Source organism: Homo sapiens, chromosome 1 (genome assembly GCF_000001405.40).
Source record: "Homo sapiens chromosome 1, GRCh38.p14 Primary Assembly".
NCBI lineage: Eukaryota > Metazoa > Chordata > Mammalia > Primates > Hominidae > Homo > Homo sapiens.
In genome coordinates, this window is record NC_000001.11 from 223,346,871 (window position 1) to 223,364,628 (window position 17,758).

A 17,758-nucleotide genomic window follows, 5' to 3' on the forward strand; every position below is an offset into this window, starting at 1 on the left:
TCAGTCCTTCCCTGGCCATGAACCTATCTTATGCTTGCCCCAGCAAGGCCCATGTTCATGTTCTTTCTGCTAAAACCCCCTGCAGTTCACTTCGTCCTGTTGAAATTTCACAAATATTTTTTTTCATTCAACAAATGTCTATTAAGCTCCTACTTTTTTTTTCTGTGTGAATGTTATTTTTCTTTTTTAAAAAATGCTTTTTAATTTTTGTGGGTACATAGCAGGTACATATATTTATGGGGTACATGAAATGTTTTGATACAGGCAAGCAATAAGCAATATGGAAAATTGGGCATCCATCCCTTCAAGCATTTATCCTTTGTGTTATAAACAATCCAATTACACTTTTTTAGTTATTTTGAAATACACAATTAAATTACTTTTGACAATAGTCACCCTGTCGTGCTATAAAATACTAGGTCTCATTCATTCTTTCCAATAGTACATTTTGTTTGTACCCATTAACCATCCGCACTTCCCTCCTACCCTACCCCGCCTCCCCTTCCCAGTGCAGACGTCTTTCAAGGCCTAACTTAAATGTCATCTCTGTCACAAATTCTCCCCTCTTCACAGTGAGAACAATCTTTCCCATTCCTGAATGCCACAACCCTCTGATTATGTGCCCAACATCTTATGTCATGATTGTAGATGACAGAATCACTTCCCAGCTAAATAAATCCCAGCCCCTACAGTAGAAGCCACTATTGGGGGATCAGTAGATCCCCTATAGAAGCTGACATAGAGTGCCTTAATTATTTCATGCACGCATTTAAGTGAGAATTACTATGTACTTCCGAAGTACTTGGTAACTTAATGCTCAAATGCATCCATGAAATAATTAATCTAAGGCGCTATTTTACAATAAGTAAATAAAGGCTTGTGTTCTGAGTCATACCTACTGTAAATACTTTTCCTCGTATTATCTCATTTAATCCACATAACCCTCAGGAGGTGGATCCTGTTGTGATGATTCCCAGTTGTCTGGAGGAAAGCAAATGATGTTATAGAGAAGCCCCATCTGAGAGAACATATTGGGGTCCCTGTCCCAGCTCTGCCACTAACCAGTTGTGAAACCAGCACCTCACTCTACTTTCTGGGCCTTCATTTCCTCATCGGTAATTAAGGCAACCTCTATGGCCCCTTCAGCTCTAACATAACAAACCCCAAGCCCAGACTGAGTGGACTACAGATCTAAGCAACAGGAACATTCATTACGCTTCTAATATTCAAATGGAAAAAAAAAAAACTTTGTTCATATGCAACTAAACCATCCGTTTAGAACACTAGAAGCAGTAGCATAATCACAGTTATCAAGTCCATAATGCTTCAATATGTCATAACAACATGCTGAATTACAGAGATAACTGAGACAAAAGCACTGTTTTTGCCTGTTTATTGGAATATTTCTCATTCTGCTCATATTTTCAGCGGGAAAAAATAAACATGAATTTTTTTCCACTCATAATTTTCTATAATAACTCAGGCTTTTGAATCTTACCTATCATTCATCTCTGACTCTCCCATCCTGCCTAGCACAGTGCCTTGCATGTAACAGACTCCACATATATTTGCTGATCAGTCTACCTGTTCTATATCTATTTATTCTTATGCCATGTAGACAGAAGCCACTTTGTAAGAAGTTTCCAAGCCAGTTGTGGCAGGAAACTTTTCTAAATTGCAGGATGTTTTCAATTGCCTTGGTGGGTGAAGGGTTAAATTAAAGGGACAGCTCTGATGCCTACCAGTCCAAATAGAGTTGCTGGCCAGCACTGCCCACTTTTTCTCTTTAGGCCTCCCCGGTACACTACCAACCCTAGCCTAAAGGTGCGTAAGCCCAAAACCTCAATCTCTTGAGAACTGTTTCCTTCTCTTTGTGACCTGTATCAACAGTTTAGGTACAGACTTACTCTAAGCAGTTTGTTCTAAGCTTGTGATTTTTTTTAAAAGCTTTCTGGGTTAATGAACCCATCTGAGATTCTGCTGAAAGCTACAAACCCACTTCAGAGAAATGCATATACAAGTCTTCATACATGTTCAGGTGTGGGGCTGGGGGACGGTTCAGAGACCTCCAGGAGCTGGTCCATGGGCATGAAGCTCAGAAGCTCTGGGAGGTGCCAAGCAGAGAGGGGCAAGCAAGGAGACTGAGACCACAATGGATGCGGCCACTATGCTGTCTGCCAGGAGGCATGAGGCTCCTTCTCCAACAAAAAGGCCATCAAGTCTCATAACATGGGCCTGTTAGAATGGCACCAGCACCAAACCTGGACTCACGAATCATTCAGAGGTTTTAACTTTAAATATCAGAGAAAGAAAAAAGAACAAAGAAAATGTTTTGAGTAGGAGAGAAGAAAATGTCCCTTAAAAGATAAATTCAAAATGACTTAAAAATATATATATATGTGATGGCCTCCAGTTACTATGGATATTAACTCATCACTTCTCCGCAGGCTACCTCCCCATAATAATTCAATATTTACCTGACCTAAACCAGGGTGGGCTCAGCGGATGGCCTGGGGCACCACTTGCAATTGATTTTTAGTGGCCAGCAGCTGTAATCGAATAATGTGAGTGTCTAGCAGTAGTTTGATTAGATTAGAGCAAATGTTATGGCCCTGTAATTTGGGAAATTCTGCAAATTTGAGCTTCCAGATCATCTCTGGACTCCATCATCAGTGCCTGCATGAATAGCAGACTTAGGAAATGTTTGATGAATGACTTAATGAAATGCATGAATAGGTAAGCTAATGGTTTGTAGCCCCTATCACCCTCACCATATACAAACACTGGCAGTTTCATATGACTACACCTTTGCTCATGTTCTTTCCCCCTTCTTCACCTAATTGCCACTTCCTTCAGAACTGAGCTCCGGCATCATCTCCTCCTGGAAGCCTTCCCATATTTCCCCTAGCTGGGATAAGAGCTCTGGATTCCTTACAGCACCTTTTCATAAGAATTAACATTTGTCTTCCTTTCGTATCTGCTAAGAGCTGAATTGTATCCCTCTAAATTCATACATTGAAGCCTTAACCCCCAATATGACTCTATTTGGAGATAGGGCCTTTAAGAGGTAATTAAAGTTAAATGAAGTCATAAGGTGGGGCCCTAATCCAACATGACCACAGAGCTCTCTCCCGTCCCCACCCCTGCACCCACACCAAGGAAAGGCCATGTGAGAACACAGCAAGAAGGCAGCTGTCTGCAACCCAGGAAGAGAGCCTTCACCAGAACCCAGCCGTGCTGGCACCTTGATCATGAACTTCCAGCCTCCAGAACTATGACAAAATTTAATTTCCATCGTTTAAGTCATCCAACATGGTATTTTGTTAAGGCAGCCCAAGCTGACGGAGACAGTATCCCACATAGGCTCGAGCTCCTGAGGGCCGGGACTGTACTGTGTTCTTATTTCTAGTCTTAGCACCTAAGGCAGCCCTTGAACATAGTTAAGCGCTCAATAAATTATTGTTGAACAAATGTAAGAGTGGATGAAGATAAGAAGCCGGAAAGACTTCCTCCCTTTCCCACCCTTAGGACTGACTGCAAAGCCATGTTTGGACCCTCATCACTGTCAGTGAAAAACTCAATACTCCAGGTGCTGTCACTCCCAAGAGAGGGGCAAGGCGCAAGTCAAGGCCAGACATCAATCCTCTCACGGTCCTCCCTGCCCATCACTGCAGCTGTCGTTGCTGCCTGACTCAGATGTCAGAAGCAAAGAGGAAAGGACAGAGCATTTAGAAATAATAAAACCCTTGGCTCAATGATGTCCTTTATTCATACAGTAGCAGGTCTTAGCTGTTGAACTTGGCTGTGGAGTCCTTCAGCCCTCTTCTAATCAAGCTATGAGTACTCAACTGGGATTACGTATGTATGTATTCTGTGGTTTGAGAGATAAACAAGAGGAAAAGTACAGTGCCTGCCCTGGAGGAATCTGTAATGTGGGCTGCAGAGGTCTCACATTAGGGTTTGCTCTCAGTCCTTCCCACATTTGTAACTTGGTAGACAAAGGTTTACTGAGAATCTAGAACACACAGGCCACAGTCAGGTGAAAAAAAAGATAAATCGGTTGTGGATCCTAGCTTTAAGGAGCTTTTATAACTAAAAATATAACAATAACAATGAAGATACCAATATTTATTGAAATCTTACTACATAATAGGCATTCTTCTGTGTGTTTCTATAGATTTAACTTATTTAATTCTCACAACAGTTCTATAACATGGGTACTATTATCCCCCATCTTACAGAAGAGGAAACTGAGGCAGAGGCAATTAAGGGGCTTGCCCCACATATAAAGCCACCAAAGCAGTAGAGCAAGGATTCCAGTCCCCCCGGATTGCCACATGGTGACAGGGCCCTTATTTCCCCTCATCTCTAGAATGATACAGCTGCACTATGTGCAAAATTTTCATATGTTGGTGAAAGGATATGAGGGAGCACAACATCTAAAGTAGGGGCACAGTCAAGTGGGAGCAGGTTTGTCCAGGGGCAGCTTGCTCAGCCAGGTGCCCTCAGTCCCCACTCTGTCCAGGAAGACCCTGCAGGAGAGCAAAAGGCTCCATGCAAACCCTGGCCCAGACCATCTCCTAGGCTCTCTCCAGCACACCACACCATGATTCTAGTGCTCTGGGAGTTCTGAGAACACAGAGATTTCCTGGAGCTGGGGAGGAAGCCAAGGACCATCTGAGAGTCACAGGAGGTTGTGGCAGTGAGATGGAAGCTGACAGAGGGGCGCCCAGATGCAGGAACAGCTGTGGAAAGGCCAGCTGGAGGAGAGGGCACAGAGGCTTAGGGTAGAGTCAATGAATGGGGTCAGCAGGGCTAACATGAATTTTGTTCCACCCTAGATTTTCCAAGTCCATGCATCATCCTGGGTGCATTCATTCATGTGAACGTGTGGCCATCTCACTCTTCAACCTTATGAAAGTGTGTGTATCTTAATCCAGTAATGGTACTGAAAGAATAGTTTCAATGTAAACTGAAGGTCCAGGAAGCAATGGGCTGGTACAGTCTTTTGCATTTCCATGGACGTTAGCTTAGGCTACATCACCGAGAACATGACCCAGTTTAGCAACAACATCAACACAGCAGGCACTATAGGAAAACGCCAAGTATTAGAAGACCAAGGCACGTAGGCAGCAAGATGCACAGAAACCATGTAGCAAAGTGAAGGTAGAGGCCAGGTAGCCAGCTCTGCTTTCGATTAAAGCCCCTGTTAACCACACTACATGGAGGAAATTGAGAAACAGCAATTTTAATAGCAGCAATGACAGAGTAACAGGAGTCTACCCTTGAGTGTGGCTGCAGTATTCCACCCAAGATGCAAAGGCAACTGCTACAGAGATAGGGTAGGTTCACTCCCAGCTTTAGATAATCTGTGTGTTTGAAGAGCTCCCAAAGAACTGGGTCTTCCTTCATCTGGAGATGACAAGGGGCAAGAGCTCTCTGTGTGCTCATTTCCATGTAAATGAAAACTGCAGCAGCAGATTTTCAGCAAAGCCACTCTCGAGGGGATAGATAAATGCCCTGCTACCTCCTTAAACCATACAAGACCCTCCCTGATTAATTCAAAGCCCATTGCACAGACTGCACTTTAAGGAGCGCTTCCTCAAATCAGGCCCTGGCATTCCAGGGGCCCATGGGTGGCAAAGATCTAGGAAGGTCTGGGGCCGAGAAGAGGCTGCAGCAAGGTACTCTTGGCAGGCTATCAGGCTGCTTTCCTGAAGGGCTCTGAGGCTGGACTGCAGAGGATTTCCAGGCATTCCTGCAAAGGACTAGGAATCCCAAGATCTCCAGCCCACAGACACCCAGAAGCAGCATCCTACCTGCAAAGCTATAGAGGACTCCCAAGAGTTAGAGATAGCAGGCAGCTGGAGGTGAGAGGAGGCAGTCAACAACAAGGATAAGCACTTAGTGAGTCACTGGATTCAAATGCAACTCCCAGTTCACCCCACTGTCCTACCTGAGCCCATGGGGGCGAACTCACCATGCCCGCACACCTCCAGCATCCAGCAACAGAAATAGCATGCTAGATAAGGGGGAAGCAGAGCAAGGGATGCATGGAGCACCTCCCTCCCTCATGGACCACCTCCCTCCCTCATGGACCTCCGGAGCACCTATAACAAATCACTCGCCTGCTTCACATGTTTAATCTCTTTTTCCTGAGGCTTCTGTGAGCACACAAAAGGAGCTGACCGGGCTTGGGCCAACAGCTATTGAGAAGTTCCTCTCAACACCACAAGGACCTTTTCCATTTCCAGACGTCACCATTCACTGAACATGCCAGCAGCAGGCACTGAGAACAGACTGGCACATCCCATTTTGCAGCAAAACAGCTCCTCTAGCTGCCTGACATCATGTCCACACACAATGAGTTTTCACGGGGGTCAGGACCTGCACGTGGGAAGGCGTTTACATGCTGTGCAGAGCATCCCTTACCCTCCCTTTGTAATTAGGGAGGCAAAAGGCAAAAATAGCCCTATGTGCAGTGGAGAGGTGTCTCCCTCCAGACGCTCAATAATAACTCTGTTTTGTATTTACGAAATGCCTCTGACACTGCCTCCTGTATACCAGCACATCCTATGTCCCTGTGAAGTCCAGAGGAACAAGTCTTATGGCCCCTGATTTACAGATGAAGAAACCAATGAATGGCAAGGTTAAGGGACCTGCTTCAGAGGTGACAGAGCTGGTCACAGAGGGTGGGGTGATGGAGAGATCACTCTCTAACAATTGAATACTTTGAAGATGAACTGACAGCCAGAGAACACTGAATCTTTGAAAAACTCAGGGACAGCGCTGCCAAAAAATTTGTGCAGGGAGAATCTGTATCCGGAGGGCTGAGCACATTTTTTAAAATCCCGGTGCCCCAGGACAGAGGAAGGGGCAGCAGCAGGGATGACGCCCCCTGGCCACCATCACTGCAGTGTTCAGGTGACAGACCCCTCTGCTCAATGTCCCTAGGAAGGGAGACACCCAAAGCCACTCATGGCCACACTGACCCTGCTGTACTCTACTCCTCCTCTTAGCTTTGTCCTCCCATTGAAGGTTAGAAAGCTACTCGGGAGGCTGAGGCAGGAGAATTGCTTGAGATCAGGAGGCAGAAGCTGCAGCGAGCCGAGATCGTGGCACTGCACTCCAGCCTGGGCAACAAGAGTGAAACGTTGTCTCAAGAAAAAAAAAAAAAGAAAGTAGCAAAAAGAAAAGGTTCTGACTCTTCTGCAGCTGAGCCTCGGACAGCTCTATGTGGATTCTCCACCCCCTCATCATAGGCTTCCTCCCTTCTGGCTCTGTCAACTTTCTGTTCATTGACATGGGCATCCAGAATTCAGATTACTTAAACATTAACCAAATAATACACAAATAAGTCTCCCGCCCCCAAATAAGAGGAGCAATCAATTGCCAGAATAAAGTGTTGTTGGTTTCTTAAAAATTCTTATTATGACCAATGCTGATGGTCAGCATAACTCCTCAGCCTCCAAAAAAAAAAAAAAGAACACCTCGCATCCACAAAGCAATGCTATAAACGGAAGAATGATAGAAAAAAGCCTAGTCCACCATTTACAATCCAAGGGGAAAAATCTGGGCAAGCCTTTTAAATGTCACAGAGCAATTCAGACCATATCGTTCTAAATCAGAGGAACTGTACATTTCCAAAATATTACACCCCCATTTTGTGTAAGTATAATTAAAACACTTAGGTAGCCTTCATCAGCCACCAAGTATATGCTGGCATGCTATAACCGAAACATACAGATGAGCCCCCCAACACACACACAAAACATTAACTGAAAATGCATCCTTGGGTTAGATTCTAACATTGACACTCAGAGTTGGTTAACAGTGGTAGCTTAAAAGGACTGTTGAGAGCCTTTCACAAGATTAACTCTAAACCTATTAAATTTTTACAAAACAAGCAGATCCTATTGTTTCTTGCCTGGAGAAAATCAGAATCTTCTAGGTGTTAAGTATTTAGGGAAGTCTGAAGGATTCTTCTATGTACTGAGAATCTGAATTTGAAACTAGTTAGAACAGGAACAATGCTGTGGACACAAAGACATCAAAGAATCCACCATAAGAATGCATTTTCTTTCTTTCTTTCTTTCTTTTTTTTTGAGACAAGCTCTTACTCTGTCCCCTAGGCTGGAGGGCAGTGGCTTGATTTCAGCTCACTGCACTTCTGCTGCGACTACAGACACGTGCCACCACACCCAGCTAATTTTTTTTTTTTTCAGATGGAGTCTCGCTCTGTTGCCCAGGCTGGAGTTCAGTGGCACAATCTCGGCTCACTGTAATCCCCACCTCCTGGGTTCAAGCGATTCTCCTGTTTCAGCCTGCTGGGTAGCTGGATTACAGGTACATGCCACCATGCCCAGCTAATTTTTGTATTTTTAGTAGAGATGGGGTTTTGCCACATTGGCCAAGCTGATCTCAAACTCCTGACCTCAAGTGATCCACCTGCCTCGGTCTCCCAAAGTGCTGGGATTACAGGCATGAGCCACCGTGCCCGGCCACACCCAGCTAATTTTTGTACTTTTGGTAGAGACGGGGTTTTTGCATGTTGCCCAGGCTGGTCTTGAACTCCTGGGCTCAAGTGATCCAACCACCTTCGCCTCCCAAAGTGCTGAGGTTACAGATGTCAGCCACCGCACCAGGCCCATTTTCTTTCTTTCTTAAAAAGAATCTCCCTCCTCCTGATTCACCCAATTCAACCACATATGTATTTTATAAATGTAATCAGACCCCAAAAATAAGGTCTTTTTATATTTTGTTACTCTGAGAAAAAAAGGAATATAATGCATGAGTGACCCTCCTTGCTCATCTCCACTTCCACGGTGGTAATTCTGGGAGATAAAGGTCACAAATTTCAAACAGAAACATGAGATAACCGGGTTACACCTTCATTTGCAAAGAACGTCACCCTTACTCATCCTCTCTTGAAAACTCAATGGATTGGGATGATAATGAAATGATCACTGATCAGGTTTACCAGGTTCTGCAATTCCTCTCACTCCTTAGAACCAAAATCCATTCCTGGAGACTGGGTGTGCACTCTTGGGTACACATATAGGGTTATGCTTCTGTCTGCCTGCAGGCCCTGACCTGCTGGGGCCTGCACATGCCTCTGTTACACAGGGGAGAGTCATCTATAATGGCACTCCCAACTTTATTGTCCTTTCCAAATAATGTCAAGAATTATTTTGTTTGACTTCTCTGATGTTCCCAGTTTACCTTGTTTAAGATTAATAAAGCAATTACAATACTCTCAATTAAGAAGCTATTTGAGCAACTCAATTATTTCTATTTTTTTTTTTTCTTGAGTGGATAGTTTTCTTCTCTCTTAGGGTAGTACGGCATCCTTTTCTTGAGAGAAGAAGAAATATTGGGCCAAATTCTTTCCTAAAACACAGCATCTTAAGCTCATACCATGAAACATGGCTTTCTGAGTAAGTGACTCTCAGATCTCACAAACTATCAAATGTTATTTTTACTTCAAATTTAACCTTTTAGGGGGAACTTCTACACACATTCACAAATCTCAGATTTCTTTTTCTTTTTTTTTTTTCAGTGACAGGGTCTTGCTCTGTTGCCCAGACTGGAGTGCACTGGCATGATCATAGCTCGCTGCAGCCTCAAATTCCTGGGCTCAAGTGATTCTCCCACTTCACCCTCCCAAAGTGCTGGGATTACCGGCATGAGCCACCGTGCCTGGCCAGATTTTGTTTTTTGATTACCTTTTGACATATACTAACTAGATTTTCATCTACAGCATACGGTTGAGAAGATAAGTTCAAAGTCTGGACCAAAATGACAAAGAGGAAACAAAGAGGAAAGTCTTGACCAATAGAAGAGATTGCTCCTAATCTGGCTTTGTCTGATATTTGTGGAACCCTAGGACAGCAATCTCACTGAGGACGTCTCTTGAAATTTAACAAACAACAACAAAAAAAGGCAGAAAGCAAAAAAGAGAGAGAGAAATACTCAAAATCTCTTCCTTATCTTACTAGGTTGTTAAGAAAATTAAAGGTGGCGATACAGCTAAAAACATCTTGCAAACTGTACTTGTCAAGTGCTTGTCCAAGTTACATGAAAAAGAACCACTCTTAGGAAGGCTCTAAGGGAGCAACAGAGCTCAGAGAACCATCAGAAGGGAATGGTGACGGCAGTGACAGTCACTAGCAGAAGGCCCCAGAAACCAGCCACTTGTTTACTCACCCTTGGCAAAGCAGGTAAGAGTCAAGCACAACCCATTCTGACTACCTTCTTCCAACAGGCACAAAAGGACTGGCACATGGGTTTCTGTCCTCTTACCATTCACCATTCAGAGCCCAAGATTCAGGCACTCTGGCCTTCACTTTGTCTTGGGTTGTGGGATTTTCTTGTTGTTGTGTTGATTTGTTTATATGTTTTCTGCTTTTTGCTCACAACACACAAGAGTTCCCTTCTCTCAGGGCAGGGGGTGTTCCAAAATACTTGCTAACTCAGCTTAAAGAAAAATGTTTGAATCAAATACAATACAAAGAAAAAAATGTATTTAGGGATTGGGATTTCCAAGTCCTGGCATGCTAAAAGAAAGATTATCATTAAAAGAATAATCTGGGTCACCATGCCCCACTTGTAAGCCAGGTGAACTTGGACAAGTTGCTTGATCTTTCCATGCCTTCTTTTCTTCTTCTATATAATAAGGATAAATAATAAAATCTACTTCATACAGTTGTGAGGAATTAAATGAGTTACTATCCACAAAGTGTGGAAAACTGAGTTGGTACGTAATAAGCACTCTTCAATTATTATTGAAGTACTATTAACAATTTGGAAACTTTTGTCAATCACGCAGATGTCGGCCAACTTAAAATTTTGTCCCTTTTCCCAACCTTCCATGGTTAACAATAGTTGAACAGCTCATTCTTATGAGAATGGACCAATAAATCAATAAAATACATAAGAATATACATCTATCCATCAGTCCTAGATACTGTGATTGGTTTTGGTGAAGCAGGACCATATTTGTACACAAATTTGAAAGTCTATCCTTTTGCCCCTTTCTTCCCCTCAATTCAGAGGCAATGATCCCAATGATCTATTTAGACATACTGTTACTATGTGTGGTTATTTCAATTGTCAAACAGCAAATGAGCTTTCAAAGCACAGCAAGGATAAAGAGGAGCAGTGTGCAAAATCACTTTTCTCATCAGAATCAATAAATAACACTAACACGGAATTTTAAATCGAATTTAAAATATGTGTGAAAAAATAATTTTATGCATGCTTTTTGCATTTAAACTTTTGAGAAGACACCAACGCTTATCTGAATGTTTTCTCAGGACAAAGGACTGTATCCCCTTAACTGTGTATCCCCAGGATGTACAATAGACACTGGAAAAAGATGGATGGATGGATGGATGGATGGGTGGGAAAAAGAGAGCTGGCTTTACTCAGATTTTAGAATCCATCAAATTCCTGTAATCGCAGAATCAAATATTAGTGATATGAAAGGAACTGAGTCAAGGGGAAGTCACACCACTTGACCAAAGCTAGGTGGCAATTTAAGGACAGAGGCTGAACTTGAGTTCTATCCGTCCTATAAAGAATGCAGAGCACTTGTTTATACCAGAGTTTCCCATCTAAAGGCAAGCCTCGTTGGTCTTTTGCAAGCTTTGGAAATATGTCTCTGAAACCAGGAACAGAATAATTTAGGTGCTTTTATTCACGTATCTAATCAGTGTTTACTGGAGAGAGATCTTCACCTACATTTTTCATTACATTCAAAAATTAAAGAACCACTGATTCTCTGACTTGCCTCTTCAGGCCTCTGAGACAAGAGATTTGCTACTTGTTATATGAAATCCTTTTGCCTCCAAAAGCTTTCAGATTTTACCCACTGGATAAATCAAAAGAGTCTCCATGCTGCTTATATTAAGGTAGCCTTTTGTTGAAGAAACATACATTAGAGTTAGAGGAGCTGGGACTTTGCTTACAGATTAAGCGCAGTTTGAAATTGTGAATTTTAGATGTAGCATTGAATGAAAAGCTTTCACTCTACCATGTAAGAAAATGTTTCTCAATAAAACTAAGGGACTTAACACTACAAATCAGTGAGTCAGTCAGAAAGCATCTGTTTCCACCTGCTGGCACAGAGCACAGCACTACAGCGACATGAACCAAATGAGGGCTCCAGGAGCTCAATTCAGCTGCACTAGGACCATGACTTGGGTATGCAGAGAGGGCCGCTGGACCAGGGGTTTGCATGAGTCAGAGACCTAGAAACAGAAAAAGGAAGACAAGCCAAGCTCAGATGATATTTTGCTCCTGCTCTCCACCCTTCAGTGGGTTCCCCACTGCCTGCTGTGTGACTTTCAGAACCCCTATTGGAGCTTCTAGGACTTTTACAATAAGGTTCTAACCTATTTTTCCTTCTACCCTACTGATTCCTTGCAGGTATACTATATTCCAGATTAAACGGACTATTTTCTGCTCCCTGAAGGGTCCAATCATGTAACCACCTTCCACACCTTTGCACAAGCTATCCCTCCACCTGAGATGCACCCTCCCTCCCCACCATCCTATCCTAAGTGCTACCTCTTCTCTAGAGCCTTTCCTGATTTTCCTTCCAACCTCATAGGCTACCATTAATTGGATGTGGCCCCAGCTATCATGAAACTTTTGCACTTTTGTAAAAAGTAACTCACTCATAGCAATTATTTTCTAAATGGTGTGGCAGTAATTTGGGAATCTTTTTTCTTGCTCTCAATCAAAATTAGCTGAACATCTACTGTGTGTCAGATGTTGTGCTGGGTGCCTGAGACACAAACATGAATAAAGTCAAGTTTCTTGCCCTCAGTGGGCTTGTGGTCTAGTAAATGAGGCAATATTATGATAGAGGGTTACAGCTAGTGCAATGGGAGCCCAAGTAAGGGAAGAACTTACTGACTAGGGAAATATGAGAGAAGTTATGGCATTTAAAAGTTGGGGATAGAAAGAAATTTGAGAAAATTTGCTCATTTAGGAAAAAAATGAGTAAGAGAGAGTTCTAGGTAAAAATAACATTTATGCAACAGTGCTTGGCTCAGGACGGGGTAGGCACTCAATGTTTATTGAATGAATAAAGCAAAAGTCTCCAAAATCACGGCATTGTCTTAGCCCCCTCCGCCCTACTATTATTTACATTTACTAAGTGCCTACATGATTTCCATCCTTCACACCAACCCTATAAATTAGGCACCGTCATCCTCATTTTATAGATGAGGAAGCTGAGGCTCCCAAGTCCTGAGACCCCAAAGCTATCAAGTGGCAGAGCCTGATTGAGTTATTTATAATACAGAAATGTGCTAAAGAATTCACCTTAAAGGAGTCACTTGTTGAGCAAACTCTTGGCTCTCTTCCTTGAAGCCTGGGGGTGGGGGGCACTCTGGGCATCCCTCAAAGCCCAGCAGGTCTCTGGTCAAGTGTACTGGGGCAGAAAGGGGAGAAACAGCTGAAGCCATGCTCCATGCAGATTCCACACACGGCAGGGTCCTATATCTCCCCACCAACCTAATATGAGTTCTTGCACAGCATTTGGTCTCAGTGGCCCCAAATGAGGGCACTCTTCCTTAACGACAAAAGACAACCTGGAGAGAGCCACCCAAACATCATCTCAGGACAAGTCAGGCTCATAAAAGCTTCCCTAGGGTTCAAAGAACTGAATCGGAGCTCTGGCTTTCTAAGACAAAGCATTTCATTTTTGATGGAGTTCCTGTTCCTACTTTTCTTTGATCATTTTCTCAATTTCTGCCTTTCTAGTTCAGGCTTTTTCTTCAATACTTGTACTGGGCACATGCTTTTTTTTTCTCCTAGCTGAGACGATTATATCTTGCCATTGCGGTGTTCCTTTTCCATTGAAAGCAATCAAAAATGAAAATCCACATTTCAGAACAGTGTCCATTAAATATACACTTTTTTGTGGATGAAAAAAAAGCACTCTCCGAGGGCTGATTTTCAGCTCTGTGTATCACCTGAAGATTAGATATTGGGTGAGACTTCTGCTCCTCACAGGCCATTTGCATTCAGTAATTGAGAATGATGGCAGAAAGTCTGGAGCAGAAGCAACTTATTTTAAGGAATGCCTTGGTCTCAAGCATGGCTAATCAAAGTGTGGTCCTTGGATCAGTGGTAACTGCTTCACCTGGGAGCTTATTAGAAATGCCGAGTCTCAGGCCCCACTCCAGACCAAATGAATCAGCATCCACCTTTTAACAAGATCCCAGGTGACTTGTATGCACATTAAAGTTTTAGAAGCACAAGTCTAGAGCTAAGGTGTATTTGCTTTTATTGCCTTATTGGAGCCTCCATGTGCATTTCTTTCCTAAAAAAGAAAATCTCTGTATAATGAACTCTATAGGACATCCCCCACCACCCTTGCTTGCCCAAACGGTTTATTCATAGAGGAACTGTGAAGTGATAAATACTCTTCCAGAAATCACACTCTCAGCCTGAAGGAGTTCAAAGTGAAACGCAGCTGATGGCTAGCTTCCTGCAGCATATGAGTGCCTAAAAAGAAAGAGCTCTGAGACTGACAGGTGACAGGCAACCCTTACTCTCATCCTCTTCTCCAAGGCTCTGGATATTTTTGCCTGGCATGATCCCCCACAGGAAGGCAGGGAAAAAAGACATGCTATAGGAACCTCATAGGTGACTGTCATAAGACCGAGGTGGCCATGATGTACACTGAGCTCTGAAATGTTGAGGAGGATGCTCTGTAAACACGACCAAGCAGAACCAAGAGCACAAAACAAATCTCAGCTGTGCTCAGACCTCACCCATCCAATAACAATAGTCAAGACAAATGTAAATGAACCTTGATTAACTAGTCTGTCATCTACATAAGAGAAATGGACCAAGAAGATGGAAAATCATGTGGACCTGGTTTGAGAGAATGAAAGCTAGAACTGGGAGGCAAAAGCAGAGAGGAGGGGAGGAAATGATCCAGATCCACGCAATACTGTTCTGCCCGTCTATTCCCACTCATATGTGAAGCAGAGCTGGTGTCCACGGCAGATTAGAGGCTGTGACCAGAGCCCTGGCAGGGCACACAGGTGCTGGCCTGGCCTCACACTTGACCTTCTCCTCCATGAAGAGGAAGCTTGCCTCAGAGAAATCTCTATAAAAAACTACAAGCATCCAAAAAGTTATTCCTTCTTAAAAAAAAAATACAAAAATAAAAATAAAAACCAATGTCCACCCAAAGCAAGTGTTTTCTCACTAATTTTGATAGATATGCACATTGCAATAAACACCTTTATACTCTGGGCATCTTTCAGATGTCTAAGTGGAATGCCTGGGTTATTGATTACTCTGTGTTAAAGCCCAACTTATTACACCTCTCCTCCACTTTTGCTAATTTTTCACTCATTTTTTTTCCATTTTCACCTTTGAATTCTCTGAAACAGCAATATTTTAAAACGCTAAAATGGTTTATTTACATCAGTCAATACTTGCTTTTCAACCAAAGATAATTTATTTATATATTAACAGTATCTCAGCTCCTTTTAACGTCCACATCAGCAAGCTCTAGAGAACGTTTGCAATGGACAGGAATGATGGACAGCAATGAGCAGTGGAGGCAGGGAGACTAGGCTCTCAAATTCAGACAGGAACTCCATCTGTCTTCCTCTACCACAACTAAAAGATACCCCTCCCCCAGAACCAAATATGTTATAGATTAGCCGCCCACGGAGGCTGAGGCTATCAATTTTATTTCAGCTAACTTCTACTTCATAGAAGAGCAACTGACTTTATTCCCTGAAATCATACCTCGATGAGCAAAGCAATCTGTCAGAGGCACACCTGAAAGAATACCTCTGCACCTCCTCCACGCCCCCAACATACACATACATGCTGCACACACAGGGGAAGGGAAAGTTAACTTTCAAATAAACCTGCCCCGCAGCCAGTCTGACCACGTTTCCAGACCCTTCACATTCTCAAAGGTGGTTCTTAAACTCTTGCTTAAATCCAGAGGCTGAAATCTGACCTCTATCTGCTGAAGGCATTGGCAAGAGGTCCACAAATACACCACTCCCCACTGCCCCCACCCCCCACCCCTCCCCCCCCCGCCCCCGCTTCCTTGGCCAAAGTGGGAATAATGGGCCAGGCTTTATTGTCTTTCCTTGGGAGAAGCCAGGCCCGGAGGCTGGTGGGAAGCTCCAGACAGAATGTGGGTGTGTGAATCTGTGCGGGCTCCACATGGGAATTTTCAGGGAACTCCAGCGGTTTCGGAGAAGGGCGGCCATAGGCTGGGACGCAGGCACCCTCGCGTTGTCAGATCCTCCTGAAGTCTGGGTGTATGGGGGAGGGGTGCAGGGCTGTCCTGGCAGCTAGGCTCTTTCTCCCCTCTGGGCCATCCCCAGGCCCTCCCACCACAGCTGGGTCACTCACCGCCCGTGAGCTGTGCAGGGCCGAAGCACAGCGCCAGCTGAAACCACAGGATCACGGCCAAGAGTCTCTGGGGGGACTGAGGTTGCTGCTGCTGCTGCTGCTGCTCTAGAAATCCATCTCCATTGCTCGGGTTCATTCCATGATACATCTTTCATCCACAGAGGGCATCCAGCTTGCAAGAGTCTGCAACCAGAAGCGGAACACCACAATAAGCCAGTCTGTCCGGGCTCGGGGGCCACGCTCCCCCTCCTCCGCTCTGGGACCCGGCGCCTCGGCTTCCCAGGCTCCATCCTGGTTCCTCCCCCGCGCGGCCCCCGCCCCCTTTCCCACGGCGAGGTCCCCCGCCTTCCCCCGAGCCGGGTGCACTGAGTAACAGCCGCCGTGGGATGCTGCGCGTGCTGGGGGATGGAGGACAGGAGGGAGGGCAGGGGTTAGCGCACATTGGCTCCGCGCCGGTCCCCGGGATTCAGCAGCTGTGCCCACCACAGGAAAGTCTAGAGCCTCCCCGCGTCTCGGGGCCGCGAAGACACTTTTCCCTGGGCCTATACATTTCACTCTGGGAATCTCACAATGTGGCACCGTCTCCCCCAGCTACTTCTCTGGTTTTCCTCGGGATTGGGATCGATCCTACTGCCCCAGTCCCCAGTGAGATTTCTCTGCGCTGTCAAAAAAAAAAAAAAAATTCTCCCTTGGGGAGCTGCACCAGGCACCAACTCCCCCTCCCCGGCCTGCGCGCGCCTCCTCGGAATGGAAGACCCTTCCGGGACTGTCGGTCTTACCTGTGGGTCTCATGCATGCAGCTTCCTTCCCTCCTCCGCCTCCTCCCCCCGCCAGTCTAACCCGCATCTGTGCGCGACCTCTGCTGCCGCCGCTGCGCGAGCGAGCGAGACGGAAGCTTCGGCGGCGGCGCTCGGCTCCAGCTCCCCCGCCCGCGCGCTCCCTCCCCAGGCGCCCCCGAGCGGGCGGGTGTTGGGGGAGGACGGGAGCCCGGCCGCGCGCCCCCGCGGAGGCGCCCGCGCGCCCGCTACCTGAACTCGCGAGCGCGCGGCGGCGGCGGCGCGGAGAGAGGGAGTGGGTGGGGACGGGGTGAGTGGGGGGGCGGGGACGGGGCGAGGGGTGCGCGGGCGCGCGAGCACGCGCCTCTGCCAACCCAGCCGGCGCCGCGGCGTGGCCGGAGACTGGCGAGGGCGGGGACGGGGAAAGGGGCCCGCCGCCGCGACCAATGGGAAGCCCGCGCGCCTGCACCTGTCGGGGCGCGAGGCGCCGGCGGCCGGTCTTGCACACGCACGCAGCTCGGTCGCCCCTTCCCCGGCGCTGGACTGCAGCCCCTGCCCCGGCTGCGCGCCAGCTC

At 45.5% G+C, this 17,758-nt stretch overlaps 1 protein-coding gene across 13 annotated transcripts in view; it reads right to left on the reverse strand.

The window, feature by feature from the left end:
• SUSD4 (sushi domain containing 4) overlaps positions 1–17,758 on the reverse strand; it is a 144,405-nt gene that overhangs the window by 126,040 nt on the left and 607 nt on the right. For 5 of the 13 annotated variants that reach the window (NM_017982.4, NM_001410929.1, XM_017001583.2 and 2 more), the window contains exons 1-2: positions 17,187–17,306; positions 16,408–16,590 (exon numbers count right to left, since the gene is read on the reverse strand). In NM_017982.4, the coding sequence (NP_060452.3) occupies positions 16,408–16,555 (148 nt within the window). In that variant the 5' untranslated portion in view covers positions 16,556–16,590; positions 17,187–17,306. Of the gene's footprint in view, positions 1–16,407; positions 16,593–16,847; positions 16,897–16,976; positions 17,069–17,186; positions 17,307–17,758 lie in introns of those variants that run through there. The other 8 variants (NM_001437664.1, XM_005273169.2, XM_017001585.2 and 5 more) reach the window with 5 other exon arrangements.